Below are 21,470 nucleotides of genomic sequence, written 5' to 3'. Positions count from 1 at the left end.
AAGAAAAAACAGTAAAATTAATTTTAATAATTGATTTAACCCAATGTATCTTAAATATTATTATTTAAACATGTAACTAATATAAAACTTAATTCTGTAGGATTTTACTGTTTTTGTACTTAGTCTTTGAGCTCCAGTTTCTATTTTACACTAACAGTAAGTGAATTTTCACTTTTTACACTGCTTTCGGTTTAAAATTTAAACTTATGTTAATTAAGATTGAGCAAAATTTTAAAACTCTAGTTCTGCAGCTACATTAGCCACACTTCAAGTGCTCAGTAGCCATGTGTCTGGTGACTACCATACTGGACAGAGTTATGAAGCATCAGTCAGAGAAATAGCTCTATGACTGGGGAAGGTAATGTTATTCTGTTGAATACTTTAGCAAAAGTAGTCTTACCTAGGAATTACTGGAAAAATGAGAAGTAGGAGCATCAGGATATCTGGTACCTGTGTGTACTTTGTACCTGGTAGCGAAACAGTATCTTTTGTTTAAAACGTAAGGACTGAAAAGAGAAGCACACAGAGATGGAACGCAGGATCATTGGAAAGCGCTTTAAAAGTGGTAGCCACTACCGTGAGCTTGTTAGCCTTAGATTAACAATATGAATGTAAGATCTTTGAAGTCACAGAATAGGACTGATATATAATAGGTATTTAGTAAGTGCTACTATCCTTTACTTCTTTCCTTATATTCATTGTAGTAGCCATATAGTACTTCATCAGTCAAAGGAAAAAATCGAGTCTTTCTTTATAGATGGTTAATGGTTGTGACCCAGGATATGTTCTCATATAAAGACAATCTTTAGAGGATTGTTGGAGAAAAGAGGAATTTCTTTCATACTCCATGGAAATGATTATTGGTTAATAATAAGCAGTAAATACACCAGGTGTATTAGTGTTATATATATTTTGGAAAGAAAGTGCAGTTGAAATTGGGTATCAGATTTATTTGCCACTTTAATAGAAGTGTTAGGGGGACAGGTGGTGAGGAAGCAAGTGAAATTGCTCAAAAAAATGTGCACTGGCCAGTGGAGTATTTCTGAGCATGGCTGGTCCCCTGCTGCTTTGTCCCTGGAGAGCAGAGCTTTCGTCCCAGCCTGAGTCTTCTCAGGATGTCCTGTCTGTTGTTTCTCCCTCTGCCACATGGTTTTAGATGCAATCCAGGATTTCCAGGAAGGCACTATGCCAAGGTTTCTAAGCTGGAAGACAAGATAGCAACTTTTGATGGAAATATGTCTGGCCTGTGTGATGCAGTGATTTAATTAATTATGTTCAAAGTACTAAACTACCATCAGCTGTAATAATTACAGGAACTGAGGCTCCATGAAGAACATTGAAGTAATGGAAATCCAATAAAAAGTAACACTGAGTTGGCTTAGATAAGGGGAAAAAGGGAGATATCAAAGAGGAGGCTGGACTTCTTGTCTGTGTAGTTGACTCATTATAAACTTCAAGAAAAATCTGCTGGGCCCCAACACCATCTTTCATCGTGAAGTGAAAATGGTTGTATAGGAAAGATTATCACTGTGGCTTCTAGAGACTATGATCTGTTTCTGCTGTTACTGAGTTTATAAAAAGAAAAAAAATGCTTTTCCCAAAGTGATCATTTATGGGGCCTCTGCATTGGGATGATTCTGTTAGTTCTTGAAGCACTTGAATCTAAAATGTCCTACCAGGATAAGTGTCACTTTTGGAGATTGCATTAAATACAATATCTCATGAAAATTATATCATATTTAAGTTATTTTTAAATTCCTTTTGCTGCTGGCATATTTGGGTAGGCATTTGCAAATGCCATTAAGCATCTATGACTAGAAATGAGGAAAGAGAAAGAACTGAGCTTTCTCATTCTCCTTCTTACTGGTTTAGGTCATTTCTTTTCCCATATCCCTCCCTACATATGATCTGAGGTTGTGAGTTGACTAAGGCCTCAACTAAGGGCTCTGACACATGTGCCACTATGGGCTTTGGGGGAAGGGATGGGGGCAGGAGAGAGAGAGAGAGTTTTAATGGATCAAATACTTAATAATGGTTTGTATGTGCCAAGTAAAATTCTAAAGATATCTTATATATTAACACATTTGCTCCTAACAACAAGCCTCTGTAATATATGCTATTATTATCACCCCATCTTATAGACATGAACACTGAGTAATAAAGAGAGATTAAATAATGTGACCAAAGTCACTCAGCCTGTAAGTGTCAAAGTCAAGATTTGCACCCAAGGATCCTGGCTCCAGGGACCATGCTTTTCATCACTCTGCTGTCCCACCTCCTGTGTTATGTTATGGAACTTCAGGGTTTCCAAAGCATCTTATAAATGTTTTCCAAAGCATCTTGGTAGTAGAAGCTCATGAAACTGGTGGGCTACAAGGCTGGGATTCAGTCCCAGGTGGTCTCTGTCCAGGATCCTCTCTACTATATGTCACACACATGTTAGGTTCACAATAATATTTGTTCAATAAATGAATATTCTAGAGAGGACAGGGAAAAAGTGCTTTTAAACACTGTGATGTTGTGATACTGAGAATCATACTGGGGTACTGGGAATGGATATTCTTAATTCTCAGTTGTAGAACATAATTTCCTCACTCCCTCACCATGCATACACACACACACACACACATACACACACACACAGATGTACACACACATACACATCCTATTTTGTTTCCAACTAGCATATTATCCAAAACCAACTAACTGATCAGTGTCAACTTCTTGCACAAATGCATCCTTTGAGAGTTTCTTGCTGAGAAAGAATAAGTGTAAATTTTAAGAATTAGTGCAAGGTATTTCTTATTTTATACCCTTTGCGGGGATTGCCTGCCCAGACCCTAGCACAAACCTACAGAGCTAGCAGAGTAGACAGAGAATGACTGCCCAAGAGTGTCCCTCAGGGTCCCCAGCTGAGTGAGGCCCTTCACAGTGAGCAAGGACAAAACATGTGAGGCAAAACACATGAGCTCTTGAACACAGCCTGTTTCTTTCCCCGCAGCTCTGTAAAATCAAAGTTGGAGGCACCACAGGAGCTCTTTTAAAATGTCCTGGCCAGCTTGCTGCAGCCCAGATGTTGTTCCAGTCATTTTGCTGCAAGCTCCAGTAATCGCATGACTTGAGCTGCTCCTCTGCAGACCCGCTAGCCTCCACTGGCACTGCTCCTGTAGATGTTACAGATGCCACAACTCATTTCTTTGAAGTCAGTGTGTTTTTTTAAAAAACACCACTTTCAACAGATTTGGCCCAAATTCTCATTATATAAGCTGATCTTCTGGAACATCTGTCACTGTTGTGGCTTCGGCCTCCATCCTCTACTGAAGTATGATAAATTGACATTAATAAATAATGAGGCAGTGGTGAGTTTAACATACATATTATGAGGCATTGAGGCTAAAATGACAGACTTTCATCTTTCAGAAAGACCAAAAGCATAGATTAAGCAAACAAAGGAAACACAGCTAGGTTCCAGATGACAACCTCCAACTATTGCTGGCTTAAAAAAATTATAATGTACCTCACATAATTGACTGTCTCTAAATAATACAAATTGACACAAGGTTAATAGGAATGGCTGGGGCTTCATAGCTGGAGACATATTAACACAGCATAATTTCCATTCTATACCCTCTTGGTTCCCATTTCTCCAAATGCCCTCTTTTGTCCAGAGAAAGTATTTTCTTAGCAGAAATAACCATTGCAATTCAGTCTTATGTTGACCTCTACCATAAAGAATAATGTCATAGTGGTATTATGCACTTAGGTAACACCAACCTATCTCATTGCATGGTGTGATCTCATTGGCCACAGTCTCATTGTTACTGTCAATGTTTAGTTGCTCATTATTCTTCTGTGGGGTCATATTGTGTACCTGCTATGTGAGTACCTTTAGGCATATGCTAGTGAATGCCCTTTGTGAAAACAGAAAAAGAAGTAGAATCTGGTTACTCTCTAGTGTGAAGTTCAATGCTTTTGAAATTCATATATTTCCATTTATTCATGGCCAAAGATAACCTAAAATCAAGGCTAACACACGTAGTAAAAAAATAGCAAATGGGCTGTGGTTCAATCCTTTGTTCCTTGGACACACACACGTGCACATATACACAAGTTTGCATACTCTTAACCTGTACTTGTGTGCCCAGCCTCCACCTGTCTTTTGTATCATAAAAGCTCTCTGAAGCCAAGGACAGCATCTGGCTGGTTTAGCCTGTATAGCTCCAAGTTTGTGTCATGCAGTGGATGCTTAGTAAATATTTAATGACAAAGGAAACACTGCTGTAAGTGAGGATGACTATTATTACTATTTAGCAATGAATGAATGGAAGGAGAGAGATGAATTGCCTGATGCCAACACAGCAAGTCAGTTGCAAAGTATACTTTGGAAGGCTGAGTGCTTGGACTGTGCCTGGGCTTTTTCAGATTTGGGCATAGAACACTTTGTTGTTGGCTTAGAGCTTGCTAAAATTAAAGCAAGAACACAGACCTCTGGGAGTTTACATTTTAAAAGCAAATATAGTGTGGAAGCCAAAACTAAGAGTATCAAAAAGTGAGAAGACCGGCTGAAATCAGCAGACACTGGTAACACAGAGGAAGAAGGATAGGAAGTTTCTCTGTTGGTGCAAAACCCAGAAGTGACTTCTCCTTGGTTCCTTTCAGGAATACTTCCACCATAGGCCAATATGGTTATGATAAAACTTCATTTTATTTTACAGCCAACAGTTCAGCATTATGTACCAGTCACAGTTCTTAGACATAAAGAATGTGACTCACTACAGGCTTACAGTCTAGATCACAAAGATAATTAATTACTCCTGCCCATACTCACTTCTAGACTTGACCTATCTTAAATTGACATACTTGCAAGTCGATAGTGCAAGTATAGCCAGTATACATATCGTACTTGCATTTATTTTCAAATTTAATGCAATTTCTCATATATAGACTTTTTTCATTTTTAAATCGAATTATATATTTTTTTCCTTTTTTTATCATACTTTAAGTTTTAGGGTACATGTGCACAACGTGCAGGTTAGTTACATATCTATACATGTGCCATGCTGGTGTGCTGCACCCATTAACTCATTATTTAACATTAGGTATATCTCCTAATGCTATCCCTCCCACCTCCCCTCACCCCACAACAGGCCCCGGTGTGTGATGTTCCCCTTCCTGTGTCCATGTGTTCTCATTGTTCAATTCCCACGTATGGGTGAGAACATGCAGTATTTGGCTTTTTGTCCTTGCGATAGTTTGCTGAGAATGATGGTTTCCAGCTTCATCCATGTCCCTACAAAGGACAGGAACTCATCATTTTTTATGGCTGCATAGTATTCCATGGTGTATATGTGCCACATTTTCTTAATCCAGTCTATCATTGTTGGACATTTGGGTTGGTTCCAAGTCTTTGTTATTGTGAATAGTGCCACAGTGAACATACCTGTGCATGTGTCTTTATAGCAGCATGATTTATAATCCTTTGGGTATATACCCAGTAATGGGATGGCTGGGTCAAATGGTGTTTCCAGTTCTAGATCCCTGAGGAATCGCCACACTGACTTCCACAATGGTTGAACTAGTTTACAGTCCCACCAAGAGCGTAAAAGTGTTCCTATTTCTCCACATCCTCTCCAGCACCTGTTGTTTCCTGACTTTTTAATGATTGCCATTCTAACTGGTGTGAGATGGTATCTCATTGTGGTTTTGATTTGCATTTCTCTGATGGCCAGTGATGATGAGCATTTTTTCATGTGTTTTTTGGCTGCATAAATGTCTTCTTTTGAGAAGTGTCTGTTCATATCCTTTGCCCACTTTTTGATGGGGTTGTTTATTTTTTCCTTGTAAATTTGAGTTCATTGTAGATTCTGGATATTAGTCCTTTGTCAGACGAGTAGATTGCAAAAATTTTCTCCCATTCTGTAGTTTGCCTGTTCACTCTGATGGTAGTTTCTTTTGCTGTGCAGAAGCTCTTTAGTTTAATTTGATCCCATTTGCCAATTTTGGCTTTTGTTTCCATGGCTTTTGGTGTTTTAGACATGAAGTACTTGCCCATGCCTATGTCCTGAATGGTATTGCCTAGGTTTTCTTCTAGGGTCTTTATGGTTTTAGGTCTAACATTTAAGTCTTTAATCCATCTTGAATTAATTTTTGTATAAGGTGTAAGGAAGGGATCCAGTTTCAGCTTTCTACATATGGCTAGCCAGTTTTCCCAGAACCTTTTATTAAATAGGAAATCCTTTCCCCATTGCTTGTTTTTGTCAGGTTTGTCAAAGATCAGATAGTTGTAGATATGCAGCATTATTTCTGAGGGCTCTGTTCTGCTCCATTGGTCTATATATCTGTTTTAGTACCAGTGCCATGCTGTTTTGGTTACTGTAGCCTTGTAGTATAGTTTGAAGTCAGTTAGCATGATGTCTCCAGCTTTGTTCTTTTGGCTTAGGATTGACTTGGCAATGCAGGCTGTTTTTTGGTTCCATATGAACTTTAAAGTAGTTCTTTCCAATTCTGTGAAGAAAGTCGTTGGTAGCTTGATGGGGATGGCATTGAATCTATAAATTACCTTGGGCAGTATGGCCATCTTCACGATATTGATTCTTCCTACCCAGGAGCATGGAATGTTCTTCCATTCGTTTGTATCCTCTTTTATTTCATTGAGCAGTCGTTTGTAGTTCTCCTTGAAGAGGTCCTTCACGTCCCTTGTAAGTTGGATTCCTAGGTATTTTATTCTCTTTGAAGCAATTGTGAATGGGAGTTCACTCATGATTTGGCTCTGTGTTTGTCTGTTGTTGGTGTATAAGAATGCTTGTGATTTTTGCACATTGATTTTGTATCCTGAGATTTGCTAAAGTTGCCTATCAGCTTAAGGAGATTTTGGGCTGAGACAATGGGGTTTTCTAGATATACAGTCATGTCATCTGCAAACAGGGACAATTTGACTTCCTCTTTTCCTAATCGAATACCCTTTATTTCCTTCTCCTGCCTAATTGCCCTGGCCAGAACTTCCAACACTATGTTGAATAGGAGTGGTGAGAGAGGGCATCCTTGTCTTGTGCCAGTTTTCAAAGGGAATGCTTCCAGTTTTTCCCATTCAGTATGATATTGGCTGTGGGTTTGTCATAGATAGCTCTTATTATTTTGAGATACATCCCATCAATACCTAATTTATTGAGAGTTTTTAGCATGAAAGGTTGTTGAATTTTGTCGAAGGCCTTTTCTGCATCGATTGAGATAATCATGTGGTTTTTGTCTTTGGTTCTGTTTATATGCTGGATTACATTTATTGATTTTCGTATGTTGAACCAGGCTTGCATCCCAGGGATGAAGCCCACTTGATCATGGTAGATAAGCTTTTTGATGTGCCGCTGGATTTGGTTTGCCGGTATTTTATTGAAGATTTTTGCATCGATGTTCATCAGGGATATTGGTCCAAAATTCTCTTTTTTTATTGTGTCTCTGCCAGGTTTTGGTATCAAGATGATGCTGGCCTCATAAAATGAGTTAGGGAGGATTCCCTTTTTCTATTGATTGGAATAGTTTCAGAAGGAATGGTACCAGCTCCTCCTTGTACTTCTGGTAGAATTCGGCTGTGAATCCATCTGGTCCTGGACTTTTTTTTGGTTGGTAAGCTATTAATTATTGCCTCAATTTCAGAGCCTGTTATTGGTCTATTCAGAGATTCAACTTCTTTCTGGTTTAGTTTTGGGAGGGTGTATTTGCCAAGGAATTTATCCATTTCTTCTAGATTTTCTAGTTTATTTGCATAGAGGTGTTTGTAGTATTCTCTGATGGTAGTTTGTATTTCTGTGGGATTGGTGGTGATATCCCCTTTATCATTTTTTATTGTGTCTATTTGATTCTTCTCTCTTTTCTTCTTTATTAGTCTTGCTAGCAGTCTATCAATTTTGTTGATCTTTTCAAAAAACCAGCTCCTGGATTCATTGATTTTTTGAAGGGTTTTTTGTGTCTCTATCTCCTTCAGTTCTGCTGTGATCTTAGTTATTTCTTGCCTTCTGCTAGCTTTTGAATGTGTTTGCTCTTGTTTCTCTATTCTTTTAATTGTGATATTAGGGTGTCAATTTTGGATCTTTCCTGCTTTCTCTTGTGGGCATTTAGTGGTATAAATTTCCCTCTACACACTGCTTTGAATGTGTCCCAGAGATTCTAGTATGTTGTGTCTTTGTTCTCGTTGGTTTCAAAGAACATCTTTATTTCTGCCTTCATTTCATTATGTACCCAGTAGTCATTCAGGAGCAGGTTGTTCAGTTTCCATGTAGTTGAGCAGTTCTGAGTGAGTTTCTTAATCCTGAGTTCTACTTTGATTGCACTGTGGTCTGAGAGACAGTTTGTTATAATTTCTGTTCTTTTACATTTGCTGACAAGTGCTTTACTTCCAACTATGTGGTCAATTTTGGAATAGGTGTGGTGTGGTGCTGAGAAGAATGTATATTCTGTTGATTTGGGGTGGGGAGTTCTGTAGATGTCTATTAGGTCCACTTGGTGCTGAGTTCAATTCCTGGATATCCTTTTTAACTTTCTGTCGCGTTGATCTGTCTAATGTTGACAGTGGGGTGTTAAAGTCTCCCATTATTATTGTGTGGGAGTCTAAGTCTCTTTCTAGGTCTCTAAGGACTTGCTTTATGAATCTGGGTGCTCCTGTATTGGTTGCATATATATTTAGGATAGTTAGCTCTTCTTGTTGAATTGATCCGTTTACCATTACATAGTGACCTTCTTTGTCTCTTTTGGTCTTTGTTAGTTTACAGTCTCTTTTATCAGAGACTAGGATTGCAACCCCTGCCTTTTTTTGTTTTCCATTTGTTTGGTAGATCTTCTTCCATCCCTTTATTTTGAGCCTATGTGTGTCTCTGCACATGAGATGGGTTTTCTGAACACAGCACACTGATGGGTCTTGACTCTTTATCCAATTTGCCAGTCTGTGTCTTTTAATTGGAGCATTTAGCCTATTTACATTTAAGGTTAATATTGTTATGTGTGAATTTGATCCTGTCATGATGATGTTAGCTGGTTATTTTGCTCGTTAGTTGATGCAGTTTCTTCCTAGCCTTGATAGTCTTTACAATTTGGCATGTTTTTGCAGTGGCTGGTACCATTTGTTCCTTTCCACGTTTAGTGCTTTCCTTCAGGAGCTCTTTTAGGGCAGGCCTGGTGGTGACAAAATCTCTCAGCATTTGCTTGTCTCTAAAGGATTTTATTTCTCCTTCACTTATGAAGCTTTGTTTGGCTGGATATGAAATTCTGGGTTGAAAATTCTTTTCTTTAAGAATGTTGAATATTGGCCCCCACTCTATTCTGGCTTGTAGAGTTTCTGCCGAGAGATCAGCTGTTAGTCTGATGGGCTTCCCTTTGTGGATAACCTGACCTTTCTCTCTGGCTGCCCTTAACATTTTTTCCTTCATTTCAACTTTGGTGAATCTGACAATTATGTGTCTTGGAGTTGCTCTTCTCAAGGAGTATCTCTGTGGCATTCTCTGTATTTCCTGAATCTGAATGTTGGCCTGCCTTGCTAGATTGGGGAAGTTCTCCTGGATAATATCCTGCAGAGTGTTTTCCAACTGAACCTGCAGAGTGGTTCAATTCTCCCCATCACTTTCAGGTACACCAATCAGACGTAGATTTGGTCTTTTCACATAGTCCCATATTTCTTGGAGGCTTTGTTCATTTCTTTTTATTCTTTTTTCTCTAAACTTCTCTTCTCACTTCATTTCATTCATTTGATCTTCCATCACTGATACTGTTTCTTCCAGTTGATCGAATTGGCTACTGAGGCTTGTGCTTTCATCATGTAGTTCTTTTGCCATGGTTTTCCACTCCATCAGGTCCTTTAATGACTTCTCTGCATTGGTTATTCTAGTTAGCCATTTGTCTAATTTTTTTTTCAAGGTTTTTATCTTCTTTGCCATGGGTTCAAACTTCCTCCTTTAGCTCAGAGTAGTTTGATCATCTGAAGCCTTCTTCTCTCAACTCGTCAAAGTCATTCTCCATCCAGCTTTGTTCCGTTGCTGGTGAGGAGCTGTGTTCCTTTGGAGGAGGAGAGGTGCTCTGATTTTTAGAGTTTCCAGTTTTTCTGCTCTGTTTTTTCCCCATCTTTGCGGTTTTATCTACCTTTGGTCTTTGATGATGGTGACGTACAAATGGGTTTTTGGTGTGGATGTCCTTTCTGTTTATTAGTTTTCCTTCTAACAGTCAGGACCCTCAGCTGCAGGTCTGTTGGAGTTTGCTGGAGGTCCACTCCAGACCTGTTTGCCTGGGTATCAGCAGTGGTGGCTGTAGAACAGCAGATATGAGTGAGCAGCAAATGTTGCTGCCTGATCATTCCTCTGGAAGTTTTGTCTCAGAGGAGTACCCGGCTGTGTGAGGTGTCAGTCTGTCCCTTCTGGGGGGTTCCTCCCAGTTAGGCTACTCGGGGGTCAGGGACCCACTTGAGGAGGCAGTCTGTCCATTCTCAGATCTCCAGCTGCGTGCTGGGAGAACCACTACTCTCTTCAAAGCTGTCAGACGGGGACATTTAAGTCTACAGAGGATTCTGCTGCCTTTTGTTTGGCTATGCCCTCTCACCAGAGGTGGAGTCTACAGAGGAAGGCAGGCAGGCCTCCTTGAGCTGTGGTGGACTCCACCCAGTTCAAGCTTCCAGGCTGCTTTGTTTACCTACTCAAGCCTCGGCAATGGCGGGCGCCCCTCCCCCAGCCTTGCTGCCACCTTGCAGTTTGATCTCAGACTGTTGTGCTAGCAATGATTGAGGCTCCATGGGCATAGGACCTTCTGAGCCAGGCTTGGGATATAATCTTCTGGTGTGCCGTTTGCTAAGACTGTTGGAAAAGCGCAGTATTAGGGTGGGAGTGACCCGATTTTTCAGGTGCTGTCTGTCACCCCTTTCTTTGACTAGGAAAGGGAATTCCCTGACCCCTTGTGCTTCCCAGGTGAGGCGATGCCTCATCCTGCTTCAGCTCTCACTCGATGCACTGCACCCACTGTCCTGCACCCACTTTCCAACACTTCCCAGCGAGATGAACTTGGTACCTCAGTTGGAAATGCAGAAATCACCTGTCTTCTGTGTCACTCATGCTTGGAGCTGTAGACTGGAGCTGTTCCTATTCGGCCATCTTGGCTCCACCTTTTTTTTTTTTTTTTGACAGAGTCTCACATTATTGCCTAGGCTGCAGTGTGGTGACACAATCTCAAGTCACTGCAACCTCCACCTCCAAGGTTCAAGCAATTCTCTTGCCTCAGCCTCCCTAGTAGCTGGGATTACATGTGCCCACCATCATGCCTGGGTAATTTTTGTATTTTTTTTTTTTTTTGGTAGAGATGGGGCTTCCCCATGTTGGCCAGGCTGGTCTCGAACTCCTGAGTTCAGGTGATCTGACCACCTCAGCCTCCCAAAGTGTTGGGATTGCAGGCGTGAGCCACCATGTCTGGCCAAGAGACTGATTTATTTTAATCATGATCCATTCCCTTCAGGCTATGAGACTGGGTAAATATTTATGTAATTTTTGCTTGATTCAGCACAAAAATATCAGCCACCTTAATGTGCCTGTGCTCAAGCTGTTTGCTAAAATATCGGATAATTTTGGTATTTATTATTATCCCGGGACTAAGATCTTTTAATTCAAAAGAATAGTTGAGTTGTCAGTGTTATTATAACTTATTCATTATATCACATTCTGTTTGTTAGCAATTCATGACTTGGTCTCAGAACTCAGAAATTAGAGCAAAATAATTATAAAAGTATTTATATATGGATGTAATAATTTGGGATATTTTATATCCCATCTGCCTAGAGTTGACTTGTTATAACAAAAGCCTGTGTAAATTCATAGGCTACTATGTAGAGCTTAGCCCTGCACAGCAGATGTATTTGTATAATTTCTGTTACCAAAATATCTTGTAACCTCCTTCCACTACTGGCTTTGGGCTTTTGGGTACACATTGAAGGTTGTTTACCCAATAACCATTCTTCCTTTCTTCCTTACTATCAGAACCTCAGTTTTCTTTGGGGAATTATTTGTTCCCAGAGTTCCTTGCAGCTATTTGTAACTACATGAACACTTCAGGCCAATAAGATATCAATTGGTGTGTTTTAGGGATTTGTTGAAAAATGTTTGCTTTTCTAGTACAGAGTCTACCTTTTACTTCTTATTCCTCTCCTGTTTTATTCTTCTCACTTAAATTATAATATAATTCCAGAAGTGGAAGAGCTATTTTGTGAGCATTCAAATCAAAGCATAGTAAATATAAGTTTAAAATTGAAGCTTTGAGTCAGGTGGCAGAGGGCCTTGTACATGAGGCTATTAACTCAGAACTTTTCCAGTGGGCCAGGCAGAGCCACTGACAGGTTTTGAGCACAAAACTGGCAGGAGTAGAGTGAAGTGCAGGGTCAGTAATAGGGAAAGAAGATTCTTTACAGAATTGGAGATGGGAGGCATGGACATGAGGAAGCTGGACTTTAATTAAAAGACTCTAAAATAGGATCCTCACTCATATTACAATTTACTTCTGAATCAGTAACTCAGTAACCAAAGTTTGGTCGAGGTCAGCATGATGTAAAATTAAATGATAAAAAATGTGCAATGTGTATTTTAGGTAGATAAACAATTTAGCTAAACAGCCAGTATATATGAATGTCCTATTCTTCTTTTCCACTTTCCCTGTTCCCCACCATTCCCCTCCCTCCTTCCTCCTCCCTCACTTCTTTCTCTCTCTTTTTCCACCATCCCTATTTGTAGCTTTATTCTAATCCAGGAATGATAGACTTTGGGGGAAATTTAGAGATTTCATTGTGTGTGTGTGTGTGTGTGTGTGTGTGTGTGTGTGTGTGTGTGTGTTTTAGCCATCTAGCTAGGGTAAAATCAATGAAAGGGTACATTGAAGATCAACTCACCAATCCATGGGTAATAGTGATTTATGTTAAAGAATTCATCAGCTTCAACTTGCGGTTCCCAAATCCCTCTTTGTTAGATGTGTGGTATTAAAAGCCTCATTGTTACAGAGAATCGTAACATCATGACCACACAGTGGCAAAGGCGTGGCAAGCTAACTGGTTCTATCTGGTCCAGAGTAAGTTTTTAAATTAAAATAGTCTAGATGTGCATTAATTAACCTGAACGGTACTTCCTGCTCTCATCCTTTTTTCTCCAGATTAAGGAGTATCACTGTTGTTTATTTGTTTGTTTGTTTGCTTTGTGCCTGCTGCATATTTGAAAGGCATTCAGCTCCTTCATGGTGAGTATTTAGTTTATTGCTATTTGGGAGGTAGGCTTGGAAAGTGAGAATGTTGCTGTTGCCCTTTCTGTAGACAGTCAGAAACAAACAAACCAAGAAAATCTATAGGCTCCTAACAGATGGGTTTTAAAAAGTAGGTCATATTTTGAGCCCACCAACTTTGATGACATCCCTATAACAGAAACTGGATTCCTAAGTGTCAGGACAATATAAATGAGGTTCTAAAATGGCCTCTGGATCTGTTATAGCTTCCAAGTACAGCTGGGAAAAAAATTTTAGAGGGAAGTCTCTAAGGATTTGGGAAAGTAAAAACCACTCCGGGAAGCCCTGAATTCATTGCTCTGTCTCGCTTTTTCCCTGATAGACGATATTGGGATTGATTCAGTCTTGGGAATTAAAGAATTCAGATGATGTGGAGATTTTGGGGGAGAAAAAGGGGGTATGTAAGTGTGTGTGTATGGCAAGGAAAAATCAATTTTCCTCCTTTTCGATAAGAAAATTAAAGCATATGGAGGCTAAAGTCCAACTATGCTGCTGCTTCACTTTAAGATAATCTGTTTTTGGCACCTGAAAGGCTAGAAGGGCAAGATGTGAAATCTGTGAGGAAGAAAGAGACCCCATCTTCCACCTGGTCTAGGATGTGTATACCAAGGGCACTTTAGGTAATAGAATTATGTACAGATCAAGTTAAAGAGCATGAAGCTCAGAGGAAGAGGGTTATAGGTTTATGAGAACTCACAGGACTAAGATAAAGTGCCCTTGTGTATTTTCCACTCTGGAGAGGGGAAATAAAATACCTTCTTAGATCCAAATATCTGTGGTTTCTCAGGCTTCATGCCTCATTGCTGAGTGAGAACAATTGGAAACCAGGAGGTACATTTATACATCAACACGATTTTGCCTCCAATGGAATGAAGGATGAAATGGCCTCCCCAGATTACCCCTTGTTGATTGCTTGGCATCCCAAATGCTAGTCCATCAGAAATGTTTCCCAAGCTTAACTCCCCCAAATACTGTTGAACTAGAAATACTTTTTCATTACTTTTTGTCTTGTCTAAAGACTGCTTGCTCTTCCTCTCTCCCTCATGATCTATGTCTGAGATCCAAAAATATTTCTTCTTTTATGTCTTCCTCATTTTGACTATAAATTTTGGCCAAGACAGAAATTCTGCAACACAGGCTGTTACCAGGCATTTTTCACATTTGTTGCCTATGTGCTGATTTTTGTGCTATTATTTTCCAAAATTGATTATTCAATAAAGTAAGTCCACAACTTATGAATATGTATTGTCAACCATAGCCTTCCCTTTCCAATCAACCTGATGGATATCAAGTATTTTATACTGGTTGAGGATAGAAGGGGACAAGACAATATAATGAAAGCAGTTACAGTGATTGTATTTAGTCAAATGCAAATTTAGTACATGTATGTATATATGCATATATATATACACACATATATATATTTACGTACGCACCATACCTCAATGGTATTTGAATACATTGAAAATGTTCCTATCTCTACCCTGACTCTTTCTCTTTCCTTTCACACAAAACTATTGTGAGGCAGAGCTTTATCCAGAATGCGGAAGCTATTGTCCAATTGAGTGGAAATAGAGCCATTCATCTTGAAAATCTTGAAGCATATCTGCAATTATGTTAATTGCTATTGCACTATGAACAACGAAACTACTACTTATGCCAAAAAAAAAGTTAACAAGAGGAGGTTAACAACAAATGCACATGTCCAACATATAGACAGCTGCTGGGCAGACTCAAACCATAGCATATGTCTTATGACTTTACGAAGAGAAATAATTTAAACTAAGGGTGTGAGGGTTGGATGCTCCAACTCATTTCCCATTGGGATAAACAAGGTGCTATTTACCATGCAATTAGACGGGACTTATTCTAAAATACCTCTGTGGGAAGAATTAACAATACATAAGATATATGATTTCACCCTGACTTTCAACAGGAGATATTGACTTTGTCTTTAACTTCCTACGGATTCTCCAAGCTTTTCTATTCTAGGAGTAAAGAAGCCCCTAGAAGAGAAGGAAAATTGAGGAAAGTTGATAGTCCACAGAACTTTAATTCTCCTGAGCTTTGACTTTCTTACCTATCTGGAATATCGTGCTTTTCAGCTGACATTCTGAAATAGTTCTTTTGGTTCTATAGGCACATAAAAAATCATTTGGTTATTTTATGGCCTCTTATTAGAAGAACTTTGTGCCAAATTTGCAAGTCCAGGTCCTTATACATTTCAGCTGTGAAACCTTGGGCAATTTCATAACTCCTCTAAGCCTCAGTTTCCTTACCTGTAAAAAGAGGATAATAACAGCACTTACTTCACAGAGATTTTGTAAGGTCAAATCATCTCATAAATGTAAAGCACTTATAATGGTGCCTGGCACATAATCAGCACTTACAATAGCTTATATAGCACAGCATCACCACGTTAAGTATACACACTGACCAGTGAGATTTCTATTAAAAAGTTTGGGTGGCATTAGACATAAAAAATGACAATGAAGTACTCTAGGCTATTTGGTAGAGCTGGGGGGCAAAGTTGCCATTATATCAAGTATACAGTATATAGTACGGAAACTATTGTATTTAAAATCATTGTTTCTTCATTATAAAAGGGTTATTCATTTGCACTCAATTTTTATTTGGGCCTTTAAAATATGGAGTGCACTTAAAATACTATCTAGGATAGTTTATATCCTAAAGGTAATTATTAAACAAGGAAAGTGAAGATAAGACACACTGTTAGCAATCTTTCTTGCTTGTCCCATCCCATGGTCATATTTTCTTGGGGTCCAGCAGGAATATTATAGAATAAAAATGCACAGAACAATCTGACAGGAAGCTCCTTTACCACCCCTCACCCTTTCCCACTGACTCTATTTGGGAATCCCCAGGAAAGATGACATGCCCATGAGATCTCAGCAGATCTGTCTCACTACTTTACTTACTAGTCTGCTCCCTACTATATACCATCAAAATGGAAAACTAATGAATTCAAAAAAACTTTGGCTACTGCATCCTACATGGATTTGAATCTGCATATTCTGTCATTTTTGCTAACATTAGCACACAATCTAAGATTGCTCTAGTTTTTCTTTCAAAATTGATTGTACCACCTTACTTATTTTTGTAATAGGATCAATGATAATGAAATTTAGTTTCTTTTGCTCAATGATTTGGACATTTTAATCTAGAAAGGATTACCAACCTTTTAAAGAAATACACCAGACATCGTCATTAGCCATGCTTGTTAAGATGTTGACATCAAATATAGGAACTTTGTAGAATCAGAAATGTAAATCTATTACTTTTGGATGCAATAGACAATATTTGTGGGACCCTATTTATTATGTTCAACTTTTAATAGCTTTTAATAGAATGTGTAAATTGTTTCATGAAGTAGATCAATAGAATCAGCATGAATAAAGACTGATATTCAATTCAATAAATATTTATTGAAGTATATTGTGGGAAAATTACAGCCTCTGCTCTCTCTTCCCTCAAAAAAAAGCATTTGTTTAAGAAAACTGAGGATAAAAGAATTAAGGAAGATCTGGCAAAACAACTGAAATCTGATAAATCCTAGGTTTCAGAATTCATTTGAATTTGAAACCTAGGATTTTGACAAGTCATCCTTAGATTCATCTCACCAAGTCCCAGTAGGTGGAAAATTCAACATATTTTTGTAATATATAATTAGGTGGAATGTGATTCCAGAGAGGGCAAACTGAATTGAAGTAGAAACCACATTTTTTTCCTTGAGCGCTCTCTTTTGTAAAAACTGTGAGCTATGCAATCATGGTTTTAGATTTCATGATCATCATTTTTGCAACAGACCAAAGAGCTTTTATACATAAGCAATTATCCAATATTAACAGATGCACCCAATTTAAAAAAACCATAAACAGTTATGTACAAAACATATACCTACTTGCTTACAAAGGCAGAAGCTAGAATACTTTACTTAGACTGAAATGTATTAATATTATTCTGGTTGCTCTTCATCCATTACTTTAATCATATTAAGTGAATAATAAATATGAGGCATTCTACTGTCTACTAGGGATAAAGGTAAGTGGTTACTACCTCCAAGAAATCGACAGTTTAGTAGTCTAGGATACAAGTACAGAAATAAAAGTTTGGAGAGGCTATATAAAAACACATGTAGGATCTAGTGGGATCACAAAGGAATAAGTGATAATTAGGTTAAAAACAATTTTGTTGAAAATAAATCCAACTATTTTGATTCTTGGCATCATTTATCATTTCACAATGCATATATATACATATAAACATCAAGTTGTGCAACTTAAATATATACAATTTCTATTTGTCAATTATATCTCAATAAACCTGGAAAAAAGTCTTGTTAACATAAAAAAATCGAATGGATATTCAGTGAAATAATAAATTGATCAGAAATAAACATTCCTGATTATTGCTTTTTAATATAATGTGGGTAGTTTTGTTGCACATGAGAGCAATATCAAAAATTTGTTATTAGTATTTAGGCATTTTTTTTTACTATTTCCAAGAATTAGAAATAATTAAAAAAAAGAAGAAGAAATTACCTAGGAGCAAGGAGGGAGTCAGTCTCACATCCAATTGGGGTAAGTAGGGGCATAAGTAAGACATTGTCATCAGAGGCCTCTTAGAAATGATGTTTAAGTTGAATTTTAAAAGACAGCTGAGCACCCTTATGTTTGGTTCAGGGCAGCCAGTAGCCTCCAGTGGGGTTGGGCTGAGCATAGGTGGCTGCGATCAAGGCTGCAGATGTGAGGGAATGGGCCAGAACAATAGGAGGGCTGGAGCAGCTGGGTGTCAGAGCAGTAGGGGGTGTACCAGATCCTGCAGGTAGGCTGGAGGGATGAATTCTGATAACTTTGAGGCTGTGTTACTATAGAAACACTGTTATGAAGATAGTAAGCACTGGAAATATTAGTGAGAGAAAGTTGAACCTGGGTCTTTGGTTAAACTCTTCTGGAAGACTGAAGTAGATCTGGGTTATAAGTGCCCACCGATCACCAGCAGGGGCAGAAGAAAACTTTCTCTGGAGGAATGTTTCCCCAAGTTAAGGCTGTAGGACTTTCACAGAAAAATATCAAGCCATGAGTTCATATACAGAAATTAGTAAATACACTAGAAAGTAGGCCATGTGAAGGACAGTCAATAGACAGAATAAACAATACATTTGAACCTCTATGAACTGCTAAGTTTGAAACATTTAACAAAATAAAGGATGCAATTAAAAGATGAACAAACAACAAAAGACAAGCAAATATGGTAATTTTAAAAAGCTGAACTTCTAGAAATAAACAATTGTAAGTGTTGTAATTCAAAACAACTTGATGGGTAAAAATAACAGATTAAACAAAATTAAAGAAAGTTCGTGAGTTGAAAAAATAATCTGAAAAATCTATCTAGAATGTTGCAGAGATGATGAAATGAAATGGGATATCAACGTTGAAAGATATAGAAGATAAAAATAGAAGGTCTTACATATGTTCAATAAGAGTTTGAAAAAAGAGATTTGAGAGAATGGAGGAGAGGCAAAATATAACAAAGTAGCAAGTATTAATTTTCCAAAACTGATGCACATGTACCCTAAAACTTAAAGTATAATTAAAAAATAAATAAATAAATAAAATAAAATAAAATAAAATTATGACAACACATTTTCAAAGAGAACAACATAGCTCCAGCAAGATAAAGAAAAAGAAGTCCATCTTAAAAGCATCACAATACATTTTCAGAATATTAAGACAAGGAGAAAATACAGAAAGTAGCCAGAGAGAAAGGGTTGATCACCTACACAGGAACAACAATTATAATGACAGCAGTGTTCTCCACAGAGAAAAATGGAAGCCAGAAGACTGTGGAATAATGTTTTTAAAATGCTGATAGATAACTGTCAACCTGTACTCCTGTTCTCTTCCTCCCACTAAAAACAAAACACAAAAACATCTTTGAAGAATGAGGGCAAAATACAGTCTTTTACAGATACAAGATAATTTACAGAAATTGAAGGGAATTTACTACCAAAGCATCCACTCTACAGGAAGTCATGAAGGCTACATTTCAAGAAAAAGGAGACTGATCTCAGAAGGATGGTCTAGATACAAAAACAGTGAGAATGTAAATGATAAACAGAAATGTAAACATTGTGTAAAGTAAAATAACACCATATATTTTATGGTGTTACAAAATACATAGAAATAAAATATTGGACAAGTACTTTATAATTTCAGTGGAGGAAAAGTTATTTTAAGGTCTGTATCATTCACAAGGGGTTCAAGACATTTTTAAATTTTAGACTTTGTTAAGTTAAACATGCATAATACAATTTCAAACAGAACCATTAAAAAATAGAAATAGAGCCAGTAGTGAGCTGGTAAATGTGGAACAATTGGCTCTCTGAAGACAAAGCCCTAATTTGTGGCATTTGCCAATTTCCATGGTGTAAATAGTCCCACCATGAATGATTTCAAGCTACCTACATGAAGTCACTGAACTTCATATTGAGCAAAGGATCAGAAGTGAAAGGAAAGGAATCGGAAAGGATACCTAGAAGGACATACCAACGAGATCAAAGGAAAACTAAGAGAGTGCTGTATTCTGAAAGCTAAGTTAATAAAGTGTTTCAAGGAGGGAGGGAGTGATCATATTAATGGAGAATATTAGTACTCACTAAATATCCATGTTTATTTCATTGATATGAACCTCCTTATGTTAGGTTGGTGTTGTGTGACTAGATTCTGGCTAATGGGGTGGATATCACAGTCCTTCCTGACTTTAAGTAATTAGAAGGAACCAAGGGCCAACCTACTGAAATAGAAGATTCCCCCGTGGCTAGCAAAGTTATATAAGACTCCAACAGACATTTTATGATGTCTACTGTGTCCTGGGCACAGTGCTACTCCCAAAGAATAAAACAGTGAGTAAAACAGGAATTTTGAAATGATTGTGTAGCAGTTATACTCTTGTTTCAAGTGTTTTCAAGTCACAAGACCATGTAGCTCAGTTCTATAAACAACTACTTTAACAGTGGCATATTCCCAAAGGATCATTCTTTATGGGTACCAGAGTATAGCAATACATGTATGTCCCTTCTCTTATTCCTTCTCTACATCAAGCAAACATAGCCCTAGGCACTGAAACATAGCCCCAGGCTTCTCTAGAAACTAATTTCTTCAGTGTTGAAGGCCATTGATCTCTACTGCTTTTTTGTTTTGCTATAGTGAGTCACATTGTACTTCAGTGCTGGCAGTGGTTAGGTCCTGTATCAGGTGAGATAAAAACACGAATACACTTGCACATTAATACATGAACATAAATGTACACAAAATTTCAATGGCCTCAAGTCACATAAAAATAGATTCATATTCATTAGTGTAGTGTATGAGGTCTGGAATGGACCCACCCAGAGTGTAGGCTTATCAGAATGGTGTCTGTATAGCTTACCAAATTCCACATGAGTAGAGCTAGAGGAAATCTGAGAGATCATTCAATCCAGTGTTTATCAAACATTCTTCTAGACACAATACATAGAACTATATTTTAAGACACACACATGCACACACAAAAACAGAAACACACACACACCTAACTGAAACAAAAGTCTCAGGAAAGAATATACCATGCAGAAGAGGACTCCAGTCTGCTGGCTGGGTCAGAGCCCAGCTGAGGCAGGCAGGGGATATAAGGAAGAACCAGCACCCCTTTCTCCTCAGGCACCCCTACACCCACACTAGGTCTCTCCTGATGAATTGAGGTGGACAGTGACCTCACAATGCACTTAAAGGGCAGGACAACTGACAGCATCCTATACAATGGACTGTGGAGCTGTGTCTGGGTGGCACTGTCTACAGCTTGTACCACCTTGGCTGGGTTTTCTTCTAGAAGAAGTGAGATCAAGAAGCCTGGTAGACCTGGGGAAGTTGTAAAAACATCAATGAATGCTGGCTTCTGTGAACACCAATAAAAAAAAAATGAAGCAGTGTGATATTTTCTATCCTGTCCTGTCCTAAGCTATCTTATCCTATGTTCCATCCCATCCCATCCCATCCCATCCCATCCCATCCCATTCCCTACTTTATCCCTTATCTTATCCTCTTTCCTTTCCAAGCATTGCCTGTTGCAACTGACTAAATTGACTTTATGTCCCACAAATGGCTCCAAATCACAGTGTGAAAATACTG

At 38.3% G+C, this 21,470-nt stretch overlaps 1 long non-coding RNA gene across 3 annotated transcripts; it reads right to left on the bottom strand.

The window, feature by feature from the left end:
* Positions 936-21,012, bottom strand: TBX18-AS1 (TBX18 antisense RNA 1). Of its 3 annotated transcripts, none has more exons than NR_125875.1 (3): positions 20,875-21,012; positions 15,362-15,560; positions 936-1,202 (listed from the first exon to the last, which is right to left on the bottom strand). It is a non-coding gene; the product is annotated as a TBX18 antisense RNA 1 (long non-coding RNA). The 3 variants fall into 3 exon arrangements; NR_125876.1 differs by having other exon boundaries at positions 20,909-21,012; NR_125877.1 differs by having other exon boundaries at positions 15,362-15,414; positions 20,909-21,012.

This window comes from Homo sapiens, chromosome 6 (genome assembly GCF_000001405.40).
Source record: "Homo sapiens chromosome 6, GRCh38.p14 Primary Assembly".
Taxonomy (NCBI): domain Eukaryota; kingdom Metazoa; phylum Chordata; class Mammalia; order Primates; family Hominidae; genus Homo; species Homo sapiens.
This window is presented reverse-complemented; position numbering and strand designations above follow the sequence as displayed.